This window comes from Homo sapiens, chromosome 22, assembly GCF_000001405.40.
Source record: "Homo sapiens chromosome 22, GRCh38.p14 Primary Assembly".
Classification (NCBI taxonomy): Eukaryota; Metazoa; Chordata; class Mammalia; order Primates; family Hominidae; genus Homo; species Homo sapiens.
The window spans coordinates 44,187,624-44,199,623 of NC_000022.11; the positions used below are offsets into that span (position 1 = coordinate 44,187,624).

Genomic DNA, 12,000 nt, shown 5'->3' on the forward strand with positions numbered 1-12,000 from the left:
GATCAAGGAGGGCTTCCCAGTGGAGGTGACATTTGACCAGGCCTTGAAAGATGGGTAGGAGTTGGCAGGCGAGAGGCAGGCATTCTGAGCCAGGTGGAGGGCCAGGTGAGAAGTCTCCATCCCCCCAAAAGTTGTCCCCTTGGAGCCTGCAGGTGTTGATGGAGTGGATCAATGCCACTCTTCTCCCCGAGCACATTGTGGTCCGCAGCCTGGAGGAGGACATGTTCGACGGGCTCATCCTACACCACCTATTCCGTAAGTGGCTGTTTCTGGGGCTGCCTGGGCCTCGGCCCCATCCCCCTGACCTGGCCCCTCCAGGGCCCACAGGTAGGCTCTCTCCTTCAGTCCCCACAATGGTCCCGGGTTTAGGGACACCTGTCTCACTTTCTAGATGGGCCTGGGCTGGGGAGATGGAGGCGCTGTCCACAGCCCATGAGTGAGGGGGCCGAGCTGGGGCTCAGGGTGGGGCTCTGACGCCAGGGTTGGTGCTCTTTCTACCACACCACACTGCCTCTCTAACACTTATTGAGTGCCTGCTGTTTTGAGGTGCTGGGAGGTAACAAAAGAACCCATGATCCCTGCCCTCGGGCTGCCCTAGGCTGCTAGAGAGAAAACGGGCAGTCCTGGGTGGCTGGGGGCAGGGCTGGGCTCCTGTCTCCGTGTTCCTCCTCAGTCTGGAAAGCTCCAAGGGGCTTTGCAGGGGATGTGCATTCTCAGGGCCTCCTCCTGGTCCCGGGCAAGTGTTCCCCACAAGCCCCAGAGTCACCCTCTCCTTTGTCCTTGTATGGTCATGTCTGGTCTACGCATCTCTTCTGCACACAACTGTGGTCTCGGAGGCCACAGATAGGCCCAATTCCATGTCCTCAGCACTTCGCCTGAGGCCAGCCTCTGCAGTGTTCGCCGAGCTCTTTGGAGATGGGCTGCACAATCCCACTCATGCGGCTAGCACTTCCGGGCATGTCCCATGTAGCAGGTGCAGTTCATCCTCAGAATAGCCCTGTGCTGTTACTGTCCCCATTTCACAGATGAGGAAAGGGAGCCTCTGAGAGGCCTCATAATTTCTCCAAGGTCTTATGGTTAGGGAAGCAGGGGGGTCAGGATAGAAGCCTAGGAGTGTAGGCTTTAACCACTAGGCCACACTGCCCTGCAGAGATGAAGTGGACACAGCTGTGCAGAAGGGCAGGGGCTGCAGGCACAGGCTGATCAAGGTGAGGTGGGCTCTCTCAACCAGCTCAGGGGGCTGAGGCTTGCTCACATCATGTGGCCTGCATGGCCCACCAATCCTGTTCTGTGTAGATGAGGGTCTCCTGGAAGCTGGAGGGCATACCCGATTGAGGCTGTGAGTGTGGCCCACGGTCCAACACCAAGAATGGGCTCTCCAGACCCATGTTCCCTGAAGCACCAGGCAGGCTCAGCCTCCTGGAGGGTCCCTGAGGTGCTCTCTGGTCTGTCCCCGGCCAGGGGTCCTCACCACCCTCTCCTGCCTCCAGAGAGGCTGGCGGCGCTCAAGCTGGAAGCAGAGGACATCGCCCTGACAGCCACAAGCCAGAAGCACAAGCTCACAGTGGTGCTGGAGGCCGTGAACCGGAGTCTGCAGCTGGAGGAGTGGCAGGCCAAGTGGAGCGTGGAGAGTACGTGGGCCACAACCTGGCTACCCCTGGGGAGTGTGGGGCCGCTGGGGTCCTTCTGCTTCAGGCTTCTCACCCACCAGGAAGGCGCACTCATCCTTCTCCCAGCAGGGGTACAACCTGGGAGTCAGGAAGGAGGTAGAAGCCTCAGGCAGCCACAGTCAGGCATCTGGCTGAGCAGCCAACAGCCCAGCACACATCTGTGCCCTAGAGGGTGTTACTGCTGCAAAGTGCAGCCCAAGGATAGCAAACAGTCTCTGTTTGCTATCTGAATGACAGCCACTGTTGAGTTCCAAGTACCGTGGTCCGCCCATCCACACTCTCATTTCATTAAAGTATTGGAATATCTGCAGGGCCTGCTTATACAAAAAATGAGTGTGCCTGGTCGGGTGTGGTGTCTCACACCTGTAATCCCAGCACTTTGGGAGGCCGAGGCGGGTGGATCACCTGAGGTCAGGAGTTTGAGACCAGCCTGGTCAACATGGTGAAACCCCATCTCTACTAAAAATACAAAAATTAGCTGGGCGTGGTGGCCGGTGCCTGTAATCCCAGCTACTCAGGAGGCTGAGGCAGGAGAATCGCTTGAACCTGGGAGGCAGAGGTTGCAGTGAGCCCAGATTGCACCACTTCACTCCAGTCTGGGCTACAAGAGTGAGACTCCTTATCAAAGAAACACAAAAACCAAGAGAGCGTGCCAAACACCTAGACTTCCCCACCCCACCTGGTTCACAGTTTGGTATAGATTTCCTTCCCTTCAATTCTCCATATCCCCCCACCCCACCCAGATGAGAAAACTGAGGCTGAAAGAAATTATGCAGCTTCTCCAAGGTTGGGCGGTGAGGATTTAACAGAGTCCGTTTTCAAACCCAGGTTTTGTTGGGTCCCATGCGCCTGCATTCGCAGCCTGTAAGGTCTCACAATCAGTAATTGATGTTGATGAAATCAACCCTGAATTAAGTCACATGCAGCTGAAATCTAATGATCGTTCAGCCAGTGCCTTCCCAGAGGTCACTTGGTTGTTTCCGATTGTAAACAGTGCTGCAGTAAACATCTTTGTGTCTAGAGCCCCTTCCACAAGGTAGATCATACCCCTGGGCTATATTCTAAGAAGTGAGATGATGGGGTGAAGTGTGATGATTTTTAGGTTCTGAACACGTATCTCCAGATCTCTGCTCTCCAGAAGGCTGGACACAGACCTCCTTGGTCTGCAGATGGTTGTTCTGACAGTGAGGAAGCCTCCATTTGGCTGCACGTTTTGGCGGCCTCCTGGGCTCTGACCTGTCTCCACTCTCTTCCCAGGCATCTTCAACAAGGACCTGTTGTCTACCCTGCACCTCCTTGTGGCCCTGGCCAAGCGCTTCCAGCCCGACCTCTCCCTCCCAACCAACGTCCAGGTGGAGGTCATCACTATCGAGGTAGCAGCCTGGGCCCCAGGGATTTGTAAGCAGAAGCTGAGCCTCTTGGGCCCCCATTGCCGTACCCTGCATGGGTGGAGCTGGCTGGGGCGGGGCTGACCCAGGGTGAGTTTCAGGGAACCCTGAGAAATAGAATCCAGCCAGGATGGCCAGGGGGTGCTGTCTGGAGCTGGGGACGGGCTGGTAAGGGTCTAGTGGGGCTGGCGGAGGCCTGGGGGCATGAGGAGGTCCACGGCTGGCCAGCTCCACTTGACCTCAGCAGAGGGCATCTGGCTGGCAGAGGCTGAGGCCAGGGGCTGTCAGGCCATATCCCTGAGCCATGCGTGGCCGTCCGTTCATTGCCACGGGGAGCCTTCACGCCCTGAGCAAAACCAATGCTCTCACCATGAGGGTACTGTCTCCTGTGAGATTACCGATGGCTGTGACAGTGCCCTGTTCTCTTTCTAGGAACCTTGCCGGGTTTCCCCACCCTCAGATGTTCTGTCTAGCATGCGGCCTGCCTGTGCTGCGGTTAATACCCAGGAATCCACGACTTCCCTCTCCAGACAGACTCTGAGCATCACAATAGGGGGCCCCACCAGCTCTTTGCTTCTCATGACCGCCCCCACCCCACCCCAGCCTCGGGTCCCTCATGCATAGGGGCTTTGTGTGTGAGGGCTTGCCTCTGACTCGCCCCAAGAGAATAAGCCAAGTTTGGCCACACCCAGTCAGAGTCATTTCTATTTTTTTTTTTTTTTTTTTTTTTTTTTGAGATGGCGTCTTGCTCTATTGCTCAGGCTGGAATGCAGTGGTACAATCTTGGCTCACTGCAACTTCTGCCTCTCCAGCTCAAGTGATCCTCCCACCTCAGCCTCCCAAGTAGCTGGGACTACAGATTTGAGACACTGTGCCTGGCTAATTTTTTGTATTTTTGGCAGAGATGGGGTTTCACCGTGTTGCCCAGGCTGGTCTTGAACTCCTGAGCTCAAGCCATCCACCTGTCTTAGTCTCCTAAAGTGCTGGGATTACAGGCGTGAGCCACCACACCCGGCTTTCTACTGTTTTTTAAAACCATTGATTATAATTCCCTACCAAGCAGTTGTGTGGCTTGGTCTATACTGCCAACATAAATCAGAAGTGACTTCATTGATTCACTCCTTCACCATTCATTTGTTCATAGTCACATGCTCATTGATACTGCCCTCCTCCCACTGTGAGACTCTGGGGATGCCTTGGGGAGTGAGGCAGACACATCCCCAACCTCAAGACTCCTGGGGAAGAAAGACAATTAAGCCAGAGGCTGTCCTGAGGAGGGATGATACAGAGCAAACGGATCACTGGGGCTTCTTTGGGCCCCAGAGTTTTCTGGATTATTTAATTTCTTCCCCCTTTATTTTTCTTAGAGCACCAAAAGTGGTCTGAAGTCAGAGAAGTTGGTGGAACAGCTCACTGAATACAGGTGAGGGAAGGATGAGGGCCCATGGGTGGGGCTGGGGCTCACAGCGGTGGATGGGGGCAGGGTGGGGGCCAGGGCAGATCTGCCTGACCTTTGTGGGAAGGGCCCTCACATTCTGTGGCTTTCTCTCAGACCCGAAAATGCTGCGCTGACCTCTCAATCCCACGGCAGCACACAGGACCCCTTTCTAGCCTCCAACCAGGTCCCTGCCTGGCCCCTCCCAGCCACCCTGCTTTGTTTTCTAGGGTGGGGGCCCCTGGGTTTGGGGTACAGGGCCCAGTGAATCTGTCTCTCTAGTGTGAGCAGGATGTTCCTCTTTCCTTGCAAAGCTGTAAGAGTTAGAGGCCCCTGCATGGCCAGGGGCTGGCCGTCTTGCTGCCTGCCCACTTTAGGGTGTGACTGTCTTGTTCCCCGCCCACTTTGGGGGTGTGGCTGTCTTACTCCCCACCCACTGGGGGGTGTGGCCATCCTGCTCCCTGCCCACTGGGGCATGGCCATCCTGTTCCCTGCCCTCTGGGGAGTGGCCATCCTACCTCCTGCCCACTGGGCATGGCCACCTGCTCCCCACCTACTGGGGTTGACCATCCTGCTCCCTGCCCACTGGGGCTGGCCATACTGCTCCCTGCCCACCGGGGGTGTGGCCATCCTGCTCCCTGCCCACTGGGGCTGGCCATACTGTTCCCCACCCACTAGGGCTGGCCATCTTGCTCCCCGCCCACTGGGAGCATGGCTGTCCTGCTCCCCATGGAGCAGAACAGGTGGGGCCTGGAGAGGGATGGGCCCAGGGGCTGCACAGGCTGCCAACAGGTCCACCGTTGCTGGCTTCTGTGTGGCGCTAACTCACGATCTCTCACAGGGATGCAGCCAAGATGCTGGCCAGGTGGGGCTGCCATCCTCTGAAGGCTTGGCTGGGGCTGGAGCTGTGTGGACAGCACATGGTGTCTGTCTCTCCTGGCAGCCTTGGCCTCTGTGCTGAGCCCAGGTCTCTGTCACAGGCTGCTGGGCTCTGCCCCGTGGGCCCCAGCTTTCTTCTGGAGGGCTGTGGTTAGAGAGACTTGGCCTGCCCTGGACCTACAGAACTTCTCTTCTATGGGGTAGAGGTGGATCTAAAAACGTGACCAAAAAAAAAAGAAGAAGAAAAATTGTTCAAAAACAATAAAAATGGAGTGAAAGAAGCCAGACCCAAAAGAGGACACGCAGTATGGTTTCATTTCCATGAACTTCCAGGACAGGCAAAACCAACAGATGGCAAGAGAAATCGCAGCTGTGGTCAGCGTAGGGAGGGAGAGGATGGAAGGGAGAACACGGGGGGTGCTGGGAGGTTCTGCAGCATGTAAGTGGGGGTGATCACACAGGTGTGTATGTGTAAAACGCACAAGCTGTGAGCTTACGATTTGTGCACTTTATGATGTGTGTGATGTATCTCCCTCAGAACAGAACACGAACAACAAAACCAGCAAAGTCCAAATGTTTCTAGGTGTGGAAGCCTCAGGGAAGGGCATGAACCTGTTTCTGCCCTTTGCTTCCCACAAAGACCTTCTCTGCTATCTGCCCTACCTACAAAGCTGCCAGGAAAACCACAAGCATGCCAGTTTCTTTGCAACCTTGCCAGCACTGAGGCTTGTCATATTGAGAAATTGTAGGTTTGCGGGGTGTTTTTTTTTTAACCATTTGTTTGCTTTTTCCACCCACTGCACAGCACAGACAAGGACGAGCCTCCAAGTGAGTACTTTCATCATTTTTGGAAATCTGTTCCTATCTGATGCGTGTTAATGCAGACAAGTCTTAATGCAGGGTTAATTGCTGAGCATTCTCTCATTTCCCTGTCACTTGCTGTTTGTATCTCAAGCCTCATTCTTATTCATTTGTCCCTCTTTCTGTCTGTCCATCCATGGAGCTGGCTGCTCCTTCTCATGATACTGTTCCTGTGGGGAGAGAGATTTATAATTCACATGGGCAGTGATGGTGGAGTCTGTTAAATGTGTGGGCTCTGGAGTCAGTGGCCTGGGTTCAAACACCAGTGTTCCCACTCATTAGCCACTTAAGTTTGGGCAAGTATCTTAACTTGTCCGTGCCTCAGTTTCCTCATCTATAAAAGGGCACTCACCTTTTAAACTGGCAGTGAGGGTTAAAGGAGATAATGTATGAGTGTGTTCAGCATGTGGGCAGTGCTCAATAGTGAGTGGGCAATAATGTGGCTTCTGCTCTTCTGACAGAGCTGTTCACCAATCAGTTGATTGTTCTAGTTGTTACTTCTTTCATGCATCCATTCCTTTGTCACTGGTCTGGCCAGCTCTTCCCCTTCCCATCCATTAATCTATTTATCCATCTATTGATCCATCCTTTCTTCCATTCATCTATCTACTTACCCACTTATCCACCCACCCACCTATCCATCCATCCATTCATACACCCATGCATCCATCAACCCATTCTTCCATTCATCTATCCACCCACCCATCCATTTATCCATCCCTCCATCCATCCATTCATGCCTCCATTCATCCATCCACCTACCCATCCATCACCTGTCCATCCATCCATCCACCTATCCATCCATCAACCTATCCATCCATCCATCCATCCATCCACCCACCCACCTATCCACGCATTCATCCATCCATCCATCCCTCCATCCATCCATTCATGCTTCCATTCATCCATCCGCCTACCCATCCATCATCTATCCATCCATCCATCCATACACCCACCTATCCATATATTCATCCATCCATCCATCCATCTATCCATCCATCCACCCACACACCTATCCATCCATCCATTCATCTATCCACCTACCCACCTATTCATCCACCCATTCATCTATCTACCCATCCAACCACCTATGTATTCACCCATATCCATCCATCCTAACACTATTTTTCCTCCCTATACCCTCCCCACTTAGACACATAGCTATGTGGGCAGGGATGCTATGAGGGGCACCTTCCCTGCAGAGGTAGAGATAATAACCTGCCAGGAGCTTCTGAGAATGGGGGCTGAGGAAGGCGGAGTTTGGGGAGAAAGGAGAAAGGAGGGGCAAGGAGGGCTGGCTGAGGATCTGTGTATGTAGCAGGAGGGGCAGCCTGAGGACATGAGGGGTTGCCCAGGGAGCAGTATTTTGGGCAGGGGGCAGCATGAGAAGTGGGTGTCAGAGGGTGAAGAAAGGACACAGAGCAGGGGCATTTTAACGTGCATGATGCTATTTGGTGCTACTTTTCCCCCTTCACTAACAAGGGAACTGAAACAGAGAGAGGTGCTGTGACTTGCTTAGAGTCACACAGCTGCTGAGTGGCAGAAGCCACAGCAAACTCAGGCCAGTCTGTGTATTTGGTGCCCAAGGACCAGTGTCCCCATGGGAGGTATGTTAGCTGCAAATAGCAGGAATCCAGCTAGTGCACAAAGGGCATTAGCCTGAGGACATGGGCACCCGAGGCTGGACCCCAGGGCCTGAGCCGCTGTTCCCAGACCCCAAGGGAGTGACTGAGTTGCTGAAGAGCTGGCCTTTTGCAGGCAGCAGGTTCAGACACTCTTGGGGGCGGGGGGAGGCAGCAGGGAGCAGTCCTCACTCAGCCAATTTAAAACCAAGGGGAGGAGACTCATGGACCCTGATCACCCACCTGTGGCAGCTCCCGTGGCCCTGGGGAGTGGAGTAGGGCCCTGGGAGGAGGGAGTGCCAGCTGGCAGATAAAGGGATGCAGCTGTGCAGATGTAGTAACAGGTGTCAGCTGCAGGAAGAGTGGCTGTTTATGAAGTCCTACTGTGTGCCCAGTCACTGTGCCATGGGGCCATGTGTGTTATCTGCTATGGAATTCCATCTCTGCAACAACCCCAGCTAGGGAGGCACAGAGAGAGACGGTGACTCCCCTGGGGCCACACGGCCAGGAGAGCAGTGACTCAAATCCAGGTCTGTTTTATTTGAGAACCATGATGTAAAACGACAGCTCCCTCTGGACTGGTTATTCTAAGAAACTTTTGTGAAAAAAAAAATTCCCTGTTTGGCACAAAGATAATAGCATCGTAATGAGGTGTTTATTGGATCTGTGTCTGCAGAGGACGTCTTTGATGAATTATTTAAGCTGGCTCCGGAGAAAGTGAACGCAGTGAAAGAGGTAGGAGAGATCAAAGCTCTCAGCGGCTCTCAGGCTGCCCACCCCACCCACTGCCCACCTGCGCTGTAGGAGGGAATCACGGGTCCTCCCATCACACCTGCTGTGTGCTAGGCCCTTGTTCTTCCCTGGTTAGGCCATCGTGAACTTTGTCAACCAGAAGCTGGACCGCCTGGGCCTGTCTGTGCAGAATCTGGACACCCAGGTAGGGACTGAGCTGCGGCGTCCCCAGGCAGGGCAGGGCCACTGGCCGTAGGAAGGAAAGAGGGTTCTGCAGGCCCTGGGAACCTGCTGTGTGGTGGGGGTTGCATCACCTCTTGGAGCCTTAGGGTCCCCCTCCCCGGTGGGACTGTTGCTGGCAGGCAGCAGTGGTCACCAGGGACATGGTGGGATCCCGGGGGTGGAGGTGTGGGAACACTTCACAAAGCTGGAGTCACCTCGGCTGTCACTGCTTCTCATTGTTATAATTTTATTTTATAATTAATCTCAGACTAGCTGATGCCAAGACTTGAAGCATATGAGTCTTCCCTGCGTGGTTGTGTTCGCCCAAACAGAATTTATTAGATTTGTCCCATGTGCCAGGCGTAGGTGACAGCGCAGCCCAGCCGTCTGCAGGCTCCATGTCTCTCACAAGCACCCTGAGGAGCCCAGCCCCTCCCCCGGCTGACTTAAGTCGAATTTTCCCAGGAGCAGGAGCAGAATCTCAGGGGGTCAGCACCCACCATGGGCTGTGGCTTTCCACAGTGAAGCTGTGTCCCTGTAGGCTTCCCACACTGCAGGGGAGCAGGGGGTGCACAGTAGCAGACCGGCTGCCAGCCCGGGGCCTGCAGAGTGGGCATGGAGTCTGCTGGATGCCAGTGGCCTGAATGGGACATGACGTAGGCATCTGGCCACCTGGGTTCTGCTGGGTGCTGGGGTCTGGGGTGGGGAGGGAGTCTGGTCCCAGATGGACCAGTTGGCTCATGAAGATCGTAGCCAGAGCTGCTGACCTCTCAGAGAGACTCTGGATGGGCATTGGCTGGGGAGGGAGGGGTTAATGTACTCCCATGCCTAGTAGCTAAAACCAATAAAGCCCTCACTATGTGCCAGTCCCAGGGCAAAATGCTTTCCATGTTAACTCATTGAATCCTCTCCATAATCCTCTGAAGTGGGAACTGTACTACCCCACTTACAGAGGAGGATGTTAAGGCACAGAGAGGTTAATTAACTTGTCTAAAGTCACACAGTGATAAGTAGTGGACCTGGGATTTGAACCCAGGCAGCTGGGGCCAGAGTTAGTGCTTATAACCACCTCACATGGTGGCCACGTGAGAAGTTTGTGTGTGATATGGTGTGGCAGCATGGCAGGGTGGAAGTATCACGCTCTGTAGCCAGACAGACACACATTTCCCTCCTGCCTCCACCACTTATGGGCCCTGGGGTCTGCTGAGAACCCTCCACATTTGCTGTGTGACCTTGGGTGAGTTACTGGACTTCTCTGAACCTCAGGCTCTTCTTCTTATAAAGTGGGTACAAGATAGCAACTTGGTAGAATTGTGAGTGATACATGAGCTGGTGAGCCCCACGTGTTTGGTATATTACCTGGCACGCTGCCGGCATGAAATAAGTGAGAGATTTGTAGTTTTATTATATTTTATGTGGGTATAAACAGGATGATTTCTGAGATTTACATTCTACCTGTTCTATCTGTATCTCTCCCTTGGTAAAATAATGGGTTTCAGAGACTCATGGCATGTGCAAAGGTGGTATTTAGAGACTGTTCAATAAAATGGGGTAAGGAAGTCCCTTGCATTTCAGTTGTATTACCAAGGAATAGCAGCAGAAAAGATTTCAGGCCCAAACTAATAACATCGAAGCAGACTTAATATGAGGAAATTCCATTAAGGGCTTCGAATGGCAGTTCCTTCCAATATCCCATCCTGTGTTTTGTATCTTTGAAGAGTCTCAATAGGATTATATTAACATATGATATGCTGGTGGCAGGGACGACAGCTTTATCTCTGAACATACAGACAGAACAGACAGAAATATTAATGTGGCAGCCAGCGAGATGAGCCTGGTGTGCTGCTCTCTGCCTTTCTCTGATGGAATAATTTTACACTTAACTCTGTTTTCCCCTGTGTTTCTGTAGCTTGTGGAAGAGCGTGCTGTTTAAAAACTGATATGAGGCTTTTCTGCAGTAAGTTTAGAAAGCACTCTTTTCACTGAGCATGTACTATATACCAGGCAGCCTGAAACCACTTTTTACCTGCAACCCTGTGAGGTCAGGCATGTCTTCCCCACTTCTCATCAAGGCACCAGAGGCTCAGAGAAGTTGTATGACTTCCTTAGGGCCACACAGCCTGTAAAAGACAGAGTGGGCTTCGCCAGGCTTCTTCCATGTGATTGTCTCCAGTTCCTTCCTTTGTAGTTTGCAGATGGGGTCATCTTACTCTTGCTGATTGGACAACTTGAAGGCTTCTTCCTGCACTTAAAGGAATTCTACCTCACTCCCAACTCTCCTGCAGAAATGGTAAGTTTTCCAAGGATTTTTCTTTATGGTCTACCTCTAGGTGAACAGATATACAGAACTGGCATGACCAGTCTGTTTATTCACTTCCAGGTGAAGTGAAGGGTGTAGGGGAAGCTTATTTGTCTATATGTCTGCCTATCCATCCATCCATCCATCCATCCACCTATTCACCTATCCATCCATCTACCCATCCATCCATCTACCCATCCATCCATCCACCCACCCATCCATCCATCCATCCATCCATCCATCCATCCATCCATCCATCATCTACCTATCTATCCATCCCCATCTACCCATTATCTACCTACCTGACCGCCTATTAGCCCTCCTGTTCACCTACCAAGCCACCCACCATCTATGCACCCATCCATTTAACTGCCTACCTGTCCATCCACCTAACTGCCTACCTGTCCATCCACCTACCTGCCTGTCCATGCACCTATCTTCCTGTCTGTTTATTCATCTACCCAGTCCATCCATCCATCCATCCACCCACCTACCTGCCTGCCTGTCTACCCACCCATAGGAAGTTTATCTATATGTCTGTCTGTCCATCCATTCATTCATCCATCCACTTGCCTACCGGTCCATTCACCTGCTTGTCCTGTCATGCATCCATCTGTTTGTCCTTCAATCCATCTTCCTGTTCTGTTTATTGATCCACCCAATTTACCCATACACTTGCCTGCCCATCCACCCACCTGCTCATCCACCCATCCCCTACCCACACGCCTGTTCCCCCATTCCCTGAGGGCCTGTTTAGTGCCAGGCCCTGAACTGCATGGGATGTTAAGTTGATCCAACATAGCTCTTGCTTTCAGGGAGCTCTCAGTCTGTGCCCACTGTTCTCCTAGTGACGTGTGGTCTTGCAGGGCCACAGTGAAACGTGTTGGTTCAG

At 53.0% G+C, this 12,000-nt stretch overlaps 1 protein-coding gene across 3 annotated transcripts in view, besides 3 other annotated features; it reads left to right on the forward strand.

Moving 5' to 3' along the window:
• PARVG (parvin gamma) overlaps positions 1-12,000 on the forward strand; it is a 35,519-nt gene that overhangs the window by 14,673 nt on the left and 8,846 nt on the right. For 2 of the 3 annotated variants that reach the window (NM_001137605.3, NM_022141.7), the window contains exons 5-12: positions 153-255; positions 1,491-1,631; positions 2,928-3,043; positions 4,426-4,481; positions 6,178-6,200; positions 8,532-8,590; positions 8,724-8,792; positions 10,998-11,099. In NM_001137605.3, the coding sequence (NP_001131077.1) occupies positions 153-255; positions 1,491-1,631; positions 2,928-3,043; positions 4,426-4,481; positions 6,178-6,200; positions 8,532-8,590; positions 8,724-8,792; positions 10,998-11,099 (669 nt within the window). Of the gene's footprint in view, positions 1-152; positions 256-1,490; positions 1,632-2,927; positions 3,044-4,425; positions 4,482-6,177; positions 6,201-8,531; positions 8,591-8,723; positions 8,793-10,718; positions 10,945-10,997; positions 11,100-12,000 lie in introns of those variants that run through there. The other variant, XM_047441455.1, reaches the window with a different exon arrangement.
• Positions 3,370-3,459: a silencer, noted in NCBI's record as "silent region_13866". NCBI's record gives its function as "represses an Ori minimal core promoter by ATAC-STARR-seq in GM12878 lymphoblastoid cells {active_cell/tissue: GM12878}" and the evidence as "EXISTENCE:reporter gene assay evidence [ECO:0000049][PMID:35858748]".
• Positions 4,549-5,134: an enhancer, noted in NCBI's record as "H3K4me1 hESC enhancer chr22:44588052-44588637 (GRCh37/hg19 assembly coordinates)". NCBI's record gives its function as "activates a minimal SCP1, AML or CMV promoter by ChIP-STARR-seq in naive H9 embryonic stem cells {active_cell/tissue: H9 hESC(naive)}" and the evidence as "EXISTENCE:reporter gene assay evidence [ECO:0000049][PMID:30033119]".
• Positions 5,135-5,719: an enhancer, noted in NCBI's record as "H3K4me1 hESC enhancer chr22:44588638-44589222 (GRCh37/hg19 assembly coordinates)". NCBI's record gives its function as "activates a minimal SCP1, AML or CMV promoter by ChIP-STARR-seq in naive H9 embryonic stem cells {active_cell/tissue: H9 hESC(naive)}" and the evidence as "EXISTENCE:reporter gene assay evidence [ECO:0000049][PMID:30033119]".